This window comes from Homo sapiens, chromosome 19 (assembly GCF_000001405.40).
Source record: "Homo sapiens chromosome 19, GRCh38.p14 Primary Assembly".
Classification (NCBI taxonomy): Eukaryota; Metazoa; Chordata; class Mammalia; order Primates; family Hominidae; genus Homo; species Homo sapiens.
The window spans coordinates 31,385,751-31,402,012 of NC_000019.10; the positions used below are offsets into that span (position 1 = coordinate 31,385,751).

At 49.2% G+C, this 16,262-nt stretch overlaps 1 long non-coding RNA gene across 3 annotated transcripts in view, besides 1 other annotated feature; it reads left to right on the top strand.

Annotated features, from left to right (window-relative positions):
• The window catches only part of TSHZ3-AS1 (TSHZ3 antisense RNA 1), a 101,016-nt gene that overhangs the window by 63,920 nt on the left and 20,834 nt on the right, over positions 1–16,262 (top strand). The gene's annotated exons all lie outside the window — the stretch shown is intronic.
• Positions 2,883–3,384: an enhancer, noted in NCBI's record as "H3K4me1 hESC enhancer chr19:31879539-31880040 (GRCh37/hg19 assembly coordinates)". NCBI's record gives its function as "activates a minimal SCP1, AML or CMV promoter by ChIP-STARR-seq in naive H9 embryonic stem cells {active_cell/tissue: H9 hESC(naive)}" and the evidence as "EXISTENCE:reporter gene assay evidence [ECO:0000049][PMID:30033119]".

A 16,262-nucleotide genomic window follows, 5' to 3' on the forward strand; every position in this document is an offset into this window, starting at 1 on the left:
GCCTTGTTCCATGCTTTGCCTTATTTCTGCTGTCCACCTCATCAGCTCTTAAGTGAATGTTGTGGTCCCTAATTGTGGGATTGCAGTGTGTCCAGTCAGGGCAGCCTCTTCACTTTCCTGGAGGAAAAGGCAGTGTGATCTCTCACTGGGTGATCTCTCACTAGGGTGATCTCTCTGCATAGGGCACCCAGGCTGGAAACTAGCAGGGAGCTGGCCAGCACACCCAGCAGGTGCCAGGCTGCAGGGAGCTCCTGCTTCATCTCAAACACAAGAACACTCAGCTCAAAGCACAATATTTTCTGGCTTAGAGTTTGGCTCTTAGAGTGGCAGCTGTTCCTACCAAAGCAAACATTGAAAATCTGTAATTTTCAGAAATAATCGCCAACCCTCAAAAAAGATGTGTTTACACCAAAACTCCTCCGTGTGTTCACCCTGCATTCACTCAGTGTCGAGTTGCAGTTTTCTCTGCACTTCATCGCTCTGCTTCCTCCTGAACAATTGCTTTTGCCAGGGAGCATCAGCACAGACAACTAGATCCTGAGCAATGACCAGCTGGGCTCCTCCCCAAATGGAGCCAGATAATTTTGTGTTACCACTTCTGCATTTTTTTCAAATCACATCTATGCTTAAGCAGAGAGCAAACTCTCAACTCCAGCGGCCAGCCTATGGGAAGCTATAAACCTTCATTAGTTCAGCTTCAGGTGTCTTCATCAGCCTCTCCCGTAGGTGGCCTTGCAACCTGATCTTGGTTTCAAAATTAAAAATGCAGCTTCCTTGGCCTTCTCTGGACTCACAGAGCCTACAGTTGGAGACTTATGCACTCTACATTTTAAAATGGGACTCACAAGCCTGTGCACTTGAGGCCCATGGGTGGATGGCATTGCCTGGCTGGGAAATGTCAATTTCCCAACTGGGCATCCATCCATCCACCAGCCAAGTGGCCAGTGGATCTTTGTTGAGCAGTTCCTGTTTGCCGAGCCTTGTGTAGATCTCTGCTGCGAGGGAGGAGGAGGTCCCCACCTTAAGGAGCTTTTAAGGCTTGTTGGGAAGGCAAGGCATATATCTGAAAAGCCCCATTGCATGCAAGTTAACTAACGATACAGGATGATGCCATGAGACCTCTGCCATCCACGTACCAGAACCTGCTCTGCTGATTTCCTGGCTCGATGTCCATTTGCTGCTGGCTCATGCTCATATTCACAAGTCACTCTTGAGAGTCCTTTCCCTGTGCCAGACCCCGTGCTGAGTTTCAGACACGCAGGGATGGACAGCACACAGCCTTGGCCCTCCAGGCGCTTGCATCCGACTGTGGAGAGCCACTCTTAGAAACCCAGGGAGCAATCCAAGTCTGTGTGTGACGCCACTCCTGGACCTGGGGAACACAGAGCCCCTGCCAGTGCCCTGGGAGCTGGTATTCTTGCAGGGTTGGAGACAGACCTGTCTTTTGTGGCCTGTTAGTTTCCTTGTGGCTGTTGCACCAATGACCACAAACATGGAGACTTAAAATTACAGACATTTGTGCTCTCACAGTTCTGGAGACCAGGAGACTGAACTCAGCATCACTGGGCCCACATCGAAGTGTGGCATGGCCCTGCTTCCTCAGGGGGCTCCCAGGGAGAATCCGTTCCTTGCCTCCTCTGGCTTCTGCTGGCTCCGGTGTTCCTGGGCTTGTGGCTGTATCACTCCAGCTTCAGTGCCAGCACCTTCAAATTTCTCCGTGCTGAATTTTCACATAGACTTGCCCTCTGTCTGTGTCAAGCCTCCCTCTGCCTTCCTCCCTTAAGGTCACTTGTCACTGCGTTTAGGTCCCACCAGGATAATCTTTGCATCTCAAGATTCTGTTCTTAATCACATCAACAGAGACCCCCTTTTCCTCATAAAGCGACAACCACAGGTTCCAGTGGCTGGGACCTAATGTTTCGGGGAGCACTGTGCTGCCTGTCACATGTGGTTTCCTAGATCATCAGGCCCAGGCTGGCCTTTTGGATGTGGCCTTAAGTATTCACGCCACAGAGGCTCATTCTCTTGTCCCTGTTCTACCACTTTTTAGCCAACTTCCCCAGGACACGTGTCCTTCCTGGTAAGGAAGCGCTTGGGGTCACAGATCAGCCTGCGGCTTTGTGGCCTCCTGGGAGACAGGCCCAGCCCGGCCCACCTCCTCCTGTCGCCTGGAGGTTTCTGAGAGCTCATCGTCACTTTCTCGTCCCTCAGTGTGAATGCCTAATCATTCATTGAAGGCCTGAGTTCTGTGAACAGAAAGCAGGTTACGAGTCAGATCCATGGCTGGGGTCAGTGAGGAAATACAAAGGAGATTAGGGGGACAAAGAGGGGACAGGGCAGGCAGAACTCTGGTAAGGCAAGCAGGCCACCCTGGCCTCAGCCCTCCTGGAGCACGGCTCTGCTCTGTGTGAGACCTGAGAGGGGCACGGGGCCCGTGTGCACCTGTAGCTCTCCCCACTCTGTATTCCGGGGGATTCAGGGGATTCGTACCACGCCTGCCAGTGGAAGCTCTGGTTTTTCGTTTTTTTTTTGTTTGTTTGTTTTGTTTTTTTGCTTTGTTTTGTTTTTAAGAGACAAGGTCTCACTCTGTTGTCCAGGCATGATCACCACTCACTGCAGCCTCTATCTCCTGGACTCAAGCAATCCTCACCTTCAGCCTCCCGAATCGCTGGAACACAGATGCACACCATCACACCCAGCTAGTTTTTAAATTTTTTTGTAGAAATAGGGTCTCACTAGATTACCCAGGCTGGTCTCAAACTCCTGGCCTTAAGCAATCTTCTTGCCTTGGCCTCCCAAAGTGCTGGTATTACAGGCATGAGCCACCTGGCCAAAATTCTACTTTCAAAACAAGCAAACCAAAGGACCTCATGCTGAGGCCCTGATTCTCACTGAGGCGGTTGCATCAATACAATGATTCTGATCCTCACAGCATCTCAGGGGAGGCTCCCTGCCCTCCAGAGGTTGGCCTCTGATGGCCATTTCACAGATGAAGAGACTGAGGATCCGAGAGAATAAGCAACCTAACTGAGGACACAGAAAGGGAGAAAAATGGCCAAGTGGCCAGGGTGTGGAAGCCAGGCCTGGGGATTCTCTGCCATGAAACATTGGCTGTCATGACTGAGCTCCTAGCCTGTGAGGACTTGCATGTATGCACGGCCTGGTTGTGCATAGAAGGGAGAGAAAGGCCGGCCGTTAGTCTTTCTGGACTTCTCAGGCTTTGGCCTCCTCCGAGACCCTGGGGGGCTGCCCTTTCTGCCTTGTATTCCCCCAAAGTCTCTGCTTCCTAACAACAGAGTTTGCCTTCTTGCTTAAGACCCAGTGAGCAGGCTTCTGTTCTTGCAGCCAAAGGAGCTTTGGTCCCAGCAGTGGTGGTGGCTGGGGCAGCGCAGCCTCCTGCATGGGCTTGGTGGAGTCCCGGGGCCCCTGTGTGCAAGGTCCATGCTCCTCCAGCTCCCAGAGGCCCAGCAGGGGCCAGGGCTGGGTCTTGCTGACCCTGAGGTTAAAGCTACCACTATCGCTAGGGAGAGCTCTCTGTGGGCTTTCACACCCCAGAAGTCCCAGGATACAAGTCTCCTGAGGAGGGCCTCTGGGAGAGTCCTGCTGGGGACATGGATCCCTGTGCGGGGGGTATTTTATAGATATGCAGGATGCTGAAGTTTCAATCCAAGCCTTTTCACTTCATCGCCAACCACCCTGCTCTCTTTAGTACCAGCAACATCATCAAGTCACCGCAGAGAAGCAAGTACCCCTGGGCAGCCTTGACCCCCACCCAGAGAGACTCACCAGGTTACAGAGGCTGGAATCTGATGGGGTGATGGTTGTTGGTTGGGGTTTCTCAGGTTTAAGGAGAGGATTTTCCCTACCCATACCCCCCACCCCATTGCCATTCTCAAGAACTCATCCCAGTTGCCCGGAAGAACATCCCAGGCTGAGTTATGTTGTGTGACCTTCTCACCAGTCTTTGCAGATTAGAAGTAGGGTGGACATCTGAGCCAAGCCATGCCAGTGTTCTGTTTGTGGAGGATTTGGAGTTAAGGCGGGGAGGCCCTGGGAGCCAGCCTCCTGTCTTCAAGGTGCCAGTGACTTAGAGGCCATGGGTTTCTTCCTTTTGTCCTAAAAACATAGAGAGGGCTGATGCAGAGGAGAACCACAGGAGCCGAGGGAGAAGAGATGCCACCTTGGGGCTCCTCGTGTTCCCAGGTACAGGCTGTACGTCTGGAAGGCAGGGCCCTCCTTCCTGCCTTGGGTTTCCCCAAAAGTCTCTGCCTCCTAACAAGGTTTACTTCCTTCCTTAAGAACCAATGAGCAGGCCTCTGTTCCTAGCTGCCAAAGGGCATCTGGCCACAGCAGCAGGAGCTGTGCAGCCCCATGCGTGGGCTTGGAGGCCTCACACAGCTTCTGCATGGAGGGCGAGGGGCTCCTCCAGCTCCCTGAGGCCCAGCAGGGCCTGGGGCTGGGTCTTGCTGACCCTGAGGGTAAAGTCACCCCAGTCATGAGGGGAAGGGCTCTGTGGGCTTCCTGAAGGACATACGCTTTGGAGGTAGAGCAGGGTGGCCTATGGGGAGAGGGAAGGAACAGGGCCACAAGTTGTCCCAGAACATTTGGCTGTTAGAGGGAGTGTATCAGGGCAGGAAGGGAGATGGCCCTGGCGCCGGCAGCTCTGGTTAGCTTCCTCTGCATGTCACATGTCCACATCTCCAGAGTTCCTGCAAGGACAACAACAGTGCCATTTAAGTGAGGAACCTGAGGTTTAGAGGACATATTTCCTTCCCAGGGCTGCCGTCAGAGAACAGTAACTGGTTGGGGGAGAGGTGGGGGCTTAAGACAAGAGACATTTATTCTCCCACTATTCTGGAGGCCAGAAGCCTGAAATCAAAATGTCCACAGGGCTCTGCGCCCTCCAAAGGCCCTAGGAAGAGGCCTTCCTTACCTTTTCTGGTGGCTCCAGGTGTTCCTGGGCTTGTGGCTGCCTCGCTCCAGTCTCTGCCTGTGTATTCATGTCGTCTTTCCTCTTATCTCTTGGTCTTCTCTTCCATCTCTTAAAAGAGCGCTTGTCCTTGGATTTGGGCCCACCTGGATAATCCAGCATGATCTCATCTCTAGATCCTTAACTTAATTCCGTCTACAGAGACCCCTTTTCCAAATAAGGACACATTCACAGATGCTGAGGGTGGCAGGTGGACATGCTATTTTGGGGCCTCATTTAACTTTCTGCAGATAGGCTGGCTGATTTTCCACTGTCACGCAGCAGTAAATATCTGAGCGAGGTCTGGAACCAGCCCAGTCTGACTGCCATGATATTTGCTGGATACAACATGAAGATATGGGAGGAGAGGGAGAAAGGCCAGGGCAGAAAGTGCCTCCCAACACTTTCAGTATTTCCTGCACTCTCTGGGAAAACATAGGTATGATGATATTTATTCTAGATCAATGGCTGTTAGAGAAAAGCCAGGGTGGGAGGCCCTGGGACGGCCTTCACTCCTGGGTCCCTGTGCTCCCACATATGTTCCTACATGAACCATGGCCTCCCTCTCAGAAGATGCCCTCAGATCCCATGGGTGCATTGCTAGCAACATCCACAGGCACCGGGATCTTGAGCACTGGAGCGGCCCCAAAGGGGAAGGTGTTGGTTGGTCCAGGAGGAGAGCACTCTCCAGGGAGGTGAAGGGCCAGAAGCAGAATGGAGCAGAATTCCTTCTACTCAGGCTGGGCTGCAAGGAGAGGCACTGCCCAGGGAGGCCGATAGTGAAACCTGGTGCTACCTGGCAGTCAGTCTGCAAAAGGGAGGAGGCTGTGGAGAACCCTGTCCCCCTACCTACATTTCTGTCACCCCAGAATTGTTCATGCAGTGCTTTGACACTGCCAGCACCTCTGACCTCTGACCCTCTGTAGAATCCAAATGCGGAACTTTATCAGGGATCCATGCCCACCCCCAGCACACACACACACACACACAACACACACACACACACACACACACGTTTTTGTGGGATGAGTCTGAGAGGACCCTCCAGGGCTGTCCACGTTTCCCACTCCAGCCCTCCTTCCTTTACCTTCACACTTGGCCTCCCGACTTACTCTCAACCCACCTCCTTGGTGTGCAAACTAACAAAATGCACTTTTCTGCCCAAACTCCCCTACATCATTAAGTGACATAGAAAGTTCAGTTCAATACGGGGGAAAATTGAATTTATCTTGGAAATGTTTTATTCTTCCAAAATTTCACTTTGGCAAAGTCTAATGCATAGAAAAGCATGAAATACTACAGCTCCAGACCAAGCAAGTTGTTCCACTAAGCATTAAGCCGCAGGGTCCGAATTCTGCCTCTCTCCCGTCAACCACTCTCTTTAACTCAAATGCCCATCAACGTCCCGGCTAAATGTGAGTTTTCCACGGATCGCATCTTATCATAATGTCACAAAACCCATAGAATTACAAATCAGGTTTAAGGCAGAAAACATGACAGGCAAATATAAGTACACAAAAAGTACATTAAGGATCCATCTTCATTTATTCTCCGCATTCCAACCTACCTCTCCGCGCAGACCCGCTCCGTGCGGCGCTCAGCTTGAAGTAGCCTCAGATCCATTTTAAAGTGGACTGAAATATAAATGACAGTTCACACTGCACATGAACATAGACAACTGTATAAAATATTTAAATAAAGACAAGAAAGAACAGAGGATTGCAGCAAAGCCTTTGGCAGAACCGGCCTTGGGGAATTTAGCAGCTTGAGATTCATTACAAATATCATCTTTAATGTTATTTTTAGTTCAATATTTTGTAGCACTCAGAAGTAAATCTTGGTGCGCTGTCTCCTCTCCCCTGCCTTTCTCTCCTTGGGTGTCTGATCCTTCAGTTGTACTGAAACCTAATACGTTTTCAATAAAATTGATTTGTGACGTCGTAATGCTGTTTGTTTACCATCTCCCATTCCTTGTTGTAATGGGAGAGAACTATTGCATCATTTGGCAAAGTGAGGAGGATTGCTCTTGATTGCTGAATAAATTGACATGAACCTGGAAACAACCCTGTTGCAATGTGAAAATGCTCCATTGAGCCTTCCCTCCCTCCTGCACTCTCCCATTTTGAAGTTCTCGCCTGGTATTCCAGTCCTGAGTGCTAAGGGATCATCTGTCCTCCCGAAAGAGAGCCATTGTCCCAAATATGGATGCAGAAGAGAGAGAAAACTTGGTTTTAAATAATTGCTCTTTGGTTTCTTTCTCAGTGTGACTCTTCATCTCTAGCTAGTTTGCCACCTCAGGAGGAAATTCTAAAAAATGGCATTTGTCCCCAGGTGAGGGGTAGGAGAGGACCAGTTGACTAGAAGCCCTGTTCTGGGGTCATTTTGCAAATTCTTCAGTCTTCCAGGGGAACTGCAGGGAGAGTTAAACAAAGCTCTGTCCAGGAGGCAGCTGGCAAGATGGAAAGGAAGGCAGAAAACATTGCCTTGCTGCTCGGCCAGCTCCTGGGGTGTATGAGTGGAAGCCCTTGAGGAAAGGACAGACCCTAGTGGTTTTTGACAGAGCAGAGCTGGGGTTTCACGTTTGTCACTCCAGGGCAGGCTTTGACTCCTGGCCCAGGGAAGTGAGGGGCTGGGGAGAGAGGCTCAGACGGGAGCTCAGAGCAGCCTGGGAAAGGGATTTTTCAACCCAGATATTAATGGGCCCATGATGTTTCCTAGATGGAGCCCTCAAGGGCAAGCCACCCTCTCTGTGACTTGGTTTCTTCACATCAAAAATGAGTCTGATGCCCTTTGCCCTTGACTTTAGTAGGATTTCTGAGGAAGAAGGAAAAAAAAATTCTCTTTTAGTATTGAAGTTATGTTTACATATGTAAAAGCAAAGGGAGAGAACTCAGGTGGTGATTTGGGTAATTTATAACTAAATAAAGCCTAATAGTGTTTTGTTTATTTATTCGTTTGATTTTTAGAGACAGAGTCTCACTCTGTTGCCCAGGCTGGAGTGCAGTGGTGCATTCATGGCTCACTGCAGCCTCCATGTCTCTGGGCTCAAGCAATCCTCCCGCCTCAGCCTCCTAGGTAGCTGGGACTATAGGCATGCACCACAGTGCCCAGCTAATTTTTATATTTTTCTGTAGAGACAGGGTCTCATTACATTGCTTAGGCTGGTCTCAAACTTCTGGTCTCAAACAACCCTCCTGTGCCTCCCAAAGCACTGGGATTATAGGCGTGAGCCAGTGCACTTGGCCAAGCCTAATCATTTTAAAAACAAAGATAGTTAGATATTTCAACTATGGAACAAAAAAATACCCAACGGTTGTTGTAGTTAGATTTTTGTTGTTTTGTTTCTTATTTATCAAGAGAACTACTTCACCAGATATTGTGTTGATGTGGCCCAAGGTTAACAGGAAAAATCAGAAGGACTCAGGTATCTGAGAACATGAGTACCCCACGCAGCCAGGATGCTGCCAGTCTAGGAAACTGAGGTGCTGGCCAGGGGAGAGCCAGGCTTATAGAATTCAGAACCGGTTCTGGGTGGCCTTTGGAATGTATTGTGATATGGTTTGGCTGTGTCCCCACCCAAATCTCATCTTGAATCTTAGCTCCCACAATTCCCATGTGTTGTGGGAGGGACCCAGGGAGAGGTAATTTCATCATGGGGGCCGGTCTTTCCCATGCTATTCTCATGATAGTGAATAAGTCTCACGAGATCTGATGGTTTTATCAGGGGTTTCCACTTTTGCTTTTTCCTCATTTTCTCTTGCCACTACCATGTGAGAAATGCCTTTTGCCTCCCGCCATGATTCTGAGGCCTCCCCAGCCATGTGGAACTGTAAGTCCAATTAAACCTCTTTTTCTTCCCAGTCTCAGGTATATCTTTATCAGCAGCATGAAAACAGACTAAACAATAAATTGGTACCAGTATATTGGGGTGTTGCTGAAAAGATACCCAAAAATGTGGAAATGGGTAACAGGCAGAGACTGGAACAGTTTGAAGGGCTGAGAAGAAGACAAGAAAATGTGGGAAAGTTTGGAACTTCCTAGAGACTTGTTGAATGGCTTTGCCCAAAATGCTGATATGGACAATAAAATCCAGGCTGAGGTGGTCTCAGCTGGAGATGAGGAACTTGTTGGGAACTGGATCAAGGGTGACTCTTGATATGTTTTCACAAAGAGACTGGTGACATTTTGCCCCTGCCCTAGAGATTTGTGACACTTTGAATTAAGAGAAATGATTTAGGGTTTTTGCCAAAGTAATGACTATTACTTTTGCACCAACCTAATAGCAGAAGTCAGGTGCATGGACTGCAGCCTGCTAAAGGCTATCTGGTTGGCACACCATCAGCTACAGGCAGCAGGACTTTGCAAGTGAAATCTCTTTCTACCATTTCTCTACCAATCTTCAATCTGCATTCTGGACCGCAAAGACAAGAAAGCTCACTGTGCCACAGTCCGTTTTGAGCATATCAGAGGATAAGCATGCTACATAATAATGGGTCAGGCAGAAGGAAAAGCTGACTTCTTGCAGCTCACATCGTAGGAGAGGAAAGGGTCAAGTTCAGAGCAGCAGAGGCACTGTTTTTGCCTTTTTTCCCGTGACATGACACCATTCCACTTAAGTAGCTGCTGTCAGATTCAATGAGAAAATACGTGTAAAGCATTTTACACACTGTCTGGCACATACTAACCACTCAATAAATGTTAGCTTGTTATTATTATCATTTTCCTAAATGGAGAGGTCAAACCAATTAGCTGAGATTTTCTTTTTAATGAAAACTCTGATGAGTTAATCATTGTGAGGTAGGGAGGCTTTGAAACCCCTGTTAACTGGGATGATTAAAACATACTTGATTAAGCTGAGGCAGTGACAGCATATAGATTTTCTTACAGGCCAACTCCAACCGAGTCATGGTGGTGGCCACTATTGTTAAGAAGGGTTCTGAGGCTGAACAAGGCTTAGGACGAGGGAGTTTTCAGATGAATTAGTCACATGTGCCTTGCACACCAGAGATATGTGGGCAGGGGTGATACATGACATTCCTGTCCTTTGGAATAATCAGAATTCATGGCTTTTATTAATCATAGAGCTTCAAGAAAACAGATTAGAAAGGCTGCTTAGCTCCATAAGCTGCAAATGTTAGAACAGAGGTAAGATGAGAAAGAAGTTTCCAGAATGTGCCAAAGGTAAATATGCTTCTTCAACGTTGTCTGGATTTTCCCAAGAAGAAAAAGGAGGAGAATGGTGATGAGAAGAAGATGGAGAAGGAGAAAATCCTTTAAGATATGACTTACAGAGGCATTATAAACTGAAAGGATCAGCGTCTAGAATGTGTGCGTGTGTGCGTGAACACAGAAAACCATAAACAAATAAGAAAAAGACAAACACCTAATAGAAAGACAGGTCAAGGCTAAGACTTCTTAGAGAAAAGCCAATGATCAATAAATAAAAGCTGCTCGATTTCACCAGTGGTCCATGCTGTGTGAACTAAAACAGCATTCTATGGCTCCAAATTGGCAAAACTTTTGAATCTGACAGTATAAAGGATTGGGAGGATGTGAGAACTGGGTAGGGGTGCACACAACTCACAAGCCCTTAGGACAGCAAGTTGGCAACCTCTAGCACAGCTATAAACGTGCCAATCTTCTGCTGTTCCAGCATTTCCACACTAGGTGTGTACTCTCAGAAAACGACAGTCAATGAGTCCCATGGAAGGATGCTTCCCATAGTATGGTGCAGTAAACATCAAAAGCCAAAACTAGCCAGACAGCCCCACAACAGGGAAATGGTGCATAGCGACCAGACACAAGATGTATGGTTTACCTCTGAGTAATAGAGAAGTGTCCACGTCATGTTTATGTAGAGAACAAGTATGGCACGGAGGACAGTCCCTCGTCTTCTACCAATGCCGTACGTTTTCCATCTAAATACAAAGAACATGTCCTGAAGGCCACACACCCACAGATAATTATGATAATACAGAATATATGGCGGATTGGGATGGGAGAGGGTCAGAGAGGACTTTACTCTTATCTGTAATGTTTTAATATTTTATAACAATAATGTGTTCATGTATTCTTTGAGTAATTAAAAGTTAATGGCTCATGCCTATAATCCCAGCACTTTGGGAGGCCAAGGTGGGCAGATCACTTGAGGTCAGGAGTTTGAGATCAGCCTGATCAACACGGTGAAACCCCGTCTCTACTAAAAATACAAAAATTAGCCGGGCATGCCTGTAATCCCAGCTATTAGGGAGGCTGAGGCAGGAGAATCACTTGAACCCGGGAGGCAGAGGTTGCAGTGGGCCAAGAGCACGCCACTGTACTCCAGCCTGGGTAACAGAGCAAGGTTCTGTCTCAAAAAAAAAAAAAAAAGTTAATTTAAAAAGAGCCTCGACTCCTGGATTTACAGAGCACAGGCAGGCGGCTGGGGGTGGTCAGCTGGATGCACGTGGCGATGGCAATGTCTCTGCGTCCACAGCAGCCTCTGGCCCTTTTCCTTGGCTGTTACTGGCCATGTTCATGACTGAGCTCCTTTGAAATGTGTTCACTGGGGAAGAGCAGTCTCCTGTTTCCTGTTGCTACTGCTTGAAATCATGATTTCAGAGCCCAGGCTGTAGGATGGGCAGCTGCCTCTTCCCTAGGTGGGAACAGAATACTGGCCCAGCCTCTTGAAGTCTCCTTGCAGGTTCCTACCCTCTTGGTACTTTAGAGGGGACCCTGAGAAGCAGAAGACATCTTTTTATTCCTGGAAGCCCCTGCTCTCCTTGTCCATGGTGCTGGAGGGTGAATATCTCCAAATCAGCACCTCCATGGCACCACGTGTGGGTGACCAACAACTGCTCACAAAGGTTTCTTCCCCAACCTCTGGGGGAACTCCAGGCAGGGAGACCTGTGGAAATACCTCAGAGGATATTCCTGTAATATGGACTGCTTGGACCTCTTAGACCCTCCCCACTTGCTCTTGCATTCACCAACCCAGCCTCCTCACGGCCAGCCAGTCCTCTTCCTGGCCTCTCTTCCAGGCCCAGCTCTGTGCCAGCGCCTGGGGGAGGCTCCATTCTCTTACCCTCCTGCATGCTTTGTTTTACTCCCACTGGCCAGGAGCCTTCTGGACCTCCTTGAGAAGCAGTCTCAGGCCAGCTCAGGCTGGGGTTGGGGAGATGGGCTATGGTTGTTTCCTGATATGATTTGGAACTTTTGTTCTCTCCAAATCTTATGTAAAGAAGTGGCCTCCCATGTTGGAAGTGGGGCCTACCGGGAGGTGTCTGAGTCATGGGGGCAGAACCCTGATGGGTGTCTGGGTGCCATCCTCACCATAATGAGGGAGTTCTCACTCCGAGTTCACAGGGGAGCTTGTTTGAAAGAGCCTGGTACCTCCTCCCCTCTCTCTTGTTCCCACTCTCGCCATGAGACACACTGGCTCCCCTCCCTACTCTGCCATGATTGGAAGCTTCCCGAGGTGTCTCCAGAAGCCAATGTCAGCCCCATGCAGGTTCTGTACAGCCTGCTGAACCGTGAGCCAAGTAAGCCTCTTCTCTTTATAAATTACCCAGTCTCAGGCATTCCTTTATAGCGATGCAAACAGATGAACACGTTTCCCCTATTCTTTTTGACTTTCTATGACCTTCCCGGTGTCCACCGCCCCTTGTCTAAACCTATGCTGTCGTTACCTGTGCGGTGCTGAGTCCCCAATCAGGCCTTCTCATCACCAGCAACCAGCATTGCCTCTTGAACCCATCTTTCCCTGCACAGCAGCCTGGAGGCACTGCTTCCAGGGAGAAGTGCTAAACACAGAGTGCCCTTGTTATTGTTGTTAATGGTGAAATACTCACTGAGGGCCTGGGATAGAGGAGGATCAAGACCAACTCCGGTATGCACATCTTTACCTGCTGTGCTGCTCAGCACCTTAGGGCCAGGAAGGGAACTCAGAGGTGGGTCTGGTCCACAGAGCCAGGGTGCTTGGGCTGCAGCCTTGCACAGATGAGACTGCTCTCTGGTTCAGGAAGCACCAGCAGCTCCGAGTCAGGTCGTCTGGGTTCAGTTCTGGGCTTGGCCACTTAGAATCTGGTGCTGACAGAGTGGCTGTCCCTCATAGCTGAGGCTGAACTCTGGTCTGTTTCGTCTTGTGTGTGGGGCATATAATTATTCCTTTCTTACCTGTCTCCTGGCTGGAGGGTGAAGTTGTCATGCACGAGAAAGGGCATTTGGAAGGCCCATGTTTACAAGGTCCCTTGGTCCTGGGCAGGGACGTTCTTCTGTAGCCTTCGATCCAGGCTCATTCATCAGTCACCTGATTGGCACAGATTTATTGAGAACCCATTTGCCAAGTATTCTTCTAGACTGGAGGAATGCAGAGAAAAGCACAGTCCAGCCCTCCTGTTATTTTCAGTCTAGCAGGAGGGGAGGGAAATAGAAATGGAAGTGCACAGAGTGGCAGGTGCTATTAGGGGCTGAAACAAAAGGTGCTCTGGGCACACCGTAGGTCATGCGGCCCGGGGAGATCCCCCTCAGCTGACTTCATCTATGTCAGAGTGAACAGCATGGACGAAAGCACCGAAGTGTGAGGGAGTATGGTGCCTTCTTCTTCAAAAAGGCACATTTCAGAGTGGCTGATGTTTGCTAAGGGAATGAAGTTCAAGGACAAGCTGTGCAGGGGAGCAAATACAATTTGAGGCAGTTGATGCCATCCACATCTCCACAGCACTCACAGGGCTCATCTGTGGACCAATTTCTACTGCAAGTTCCTCCAACCCTGCAGGACAGGCAGCTCAGAAGTGCTAGGGAGTTAACATCCCCAGGAGCATCCATCCCGCATTGGGTGGGACCGCTCTGTGTCCCATTCTGCACTGCATCCCCAGGGGTCTCAGCAGATCTGAGCTCCAGTTACCCCTAGCAGCAAGCTGCTCACAAACCCATCTGGCTTTCTTCTCTTCCCTGTCTCACTTCCTTGCTCCCCCATGGACATTTGCTGCCATTGCCCCCCAAATAAACTACTCAAAGAAGCCAGTGCCTGCGAGCCCAAATCTGAAACAAGCCAGACTGTGAAAAACCTGGTTTTGCCTCAATACTCACTCTGTATGAGATCCAATGGGCTGTCCCATTCAGAAGAAGTTTCTGCATTTCTGTCTGTTTCTGCTGTTCCTGCTACCCAGTCAACAGAGCACATGTCAGCCTCCTTCCAGCCCTGGGACAGCCCTGCCCCTCCCTTACCTTGTCCCAGTCTCCCCATCACACCCACACCCCTTGTTTACCAAATGTTCGATCTTGGTTATGTTACTATAAAAATCAAGCAGCTGGCAATTCCAGCTTGATTACCAGGTCTCCAGTTTTGATTAGTAAATTACTGTGGTAATCAAGGTTAATTCTCGCTGCAGCGCTCAGCAATGGATTTTATATTTTTCAGGGAAATGGTTTTCCTGCCTGGGATGGAGAACATTTCATTAAAGGAACCCAAAGATAGGAAAGAAAGGAAGTGAGTCCTGGAAGTATGGAGAATGGGCACCTGCAGGTCTCCTCTCTCTGTCCTACCTTCCAGTCGGCCCTTGGCTGGGGTCAAGGAGCCAGGACAGGACAGGGCCTCCTGAGAAATACTAGTCCACCACTTCTGGCTTTTGGAGTGCCATTGAGAGACCAGGGAAAAACTCTTCTTGCTGGAACTGAAAGCCACTGAGCTCAGGTCAGAAATCCTAGCTGCTGGGGGGTAAAGGGGTCAGTGCTCAAGATCAGAGATGTCTTTGGGTGATTGATATCTTTAAGTGCTTCAGGGGGATGTGAAGGAAAGTAGGCTCTGTCAGTGCTTGTGTGCGGGCAGCCTCTAGACTCTAGACTCCCCGCCCTACGGGATGTCACTTTCTCCAGGGAATGAATGGCATCTATGGAAGGGGTCAGGAGTTCGGAGAGACACCCAGGCTTGCAAGAGAGCTCTTGGGATGGTGGAACCTTGCAGCTGGATTTCATTTCTGATTTTTGTCCTGGGTCTAGTATATGGACTGTGGACCCCAGACAAGTTGGAATTAAGGTGTTCTGACCTACAGATAGAGATAGGACAAGAGAGAATGGGGGCTGGCCCCAGCCCACCCAGGATTTCTCTGTGAGCTAATCCCACCACCTGTAACTCCCTATATTGCCATCAATAAATGTCAGCAATGAATGCTTTGCCTCTAGAAGGTGAGATTTGTTTTTAGTATCTCTTTGGGGGATGGACACTGTCAGTCCATAGAATTTATATCAAACTTTTTTAGCAGCAAAGATGTGTGGCAGTGAAGGTTATGGTCAGTGCAGAGGTGCTCCCACCTCATCCCACTCTGAGTCAAAGGAAGCTCACAGGTTGCTCTGCTGCCAACCCCACCCTCTATCTGTCCTTCTCTCCTACACATCCATAATCGCCCTCTGGACCAGAGCACGCAGCTGGTCCTAACTTCACCTGGATGTAAAGATGAAGCGAGTCGTCCTGCAGGCTCCACCCTTCACTCTGCTCCATACAGTAGGAACTGGTGTGCACATGGTGTAGACTCTGTTCTGGGGAGTCTCACCCCAGAACCGCCAAGCAGGAAGAACAGATGATTAAAACCCAGACCTGGCCTTTGACTTGGTCATCTTGTTTTCTGGGGGTCTCAGGAAGAGACTGCCTTCTTGGTGTCTCCCCTTCCCAGATTACTGTCTCCAATTTCAGGAGTCCCCAAAGCTTATTAGCACCTTTACAAAGTGGGTGTGGGTGAGGTGGAGTCTGGACTGGGAAGACCTGGAGCTAGCACTCCTGTCTGGAGGTGAGATTGATATGTCCTCATTCTCAGTGCCCCTGTGGGGCCATGCCTCTAGGAACAGATGTTTGCTCAGGGGAAGGACAACATGTGTCCAAACCTCATTTCAAATATGTTTTGTGCTGGGTATGGTGGCTCATACCTGTAATCTCAGTACTTTGGGAGTCCGAGGCTGGTGGACTGCCTGAGGTCAGGAGTTCGAGACTAGTCTGGCCAACATGGTGAAACCCCGTTTCTACTAAAAATACAAAAAATTAGCAGGATGTGGTGGGCGCATGCCTGTAATCCCAGATACTTAGGAGGCTGAGGCATGAGAATCGCTTGAACCTGGGAGGTGGAGGTTGCAGTTAGCCGAGATTGTGCCATTGTACTCCAGCCTGGGTGACAAAAGTGAAACTCCATCTCTTTCTCTTTCTCTCTCTCTCTCTCTATACATATATATATATATGCACATATGTATATACACACACACATATATATGTGTTTTGTTAGGCAGAAAGTGAAAAGCCTTTTTCCTCCCCACTGCAAAATCTGGG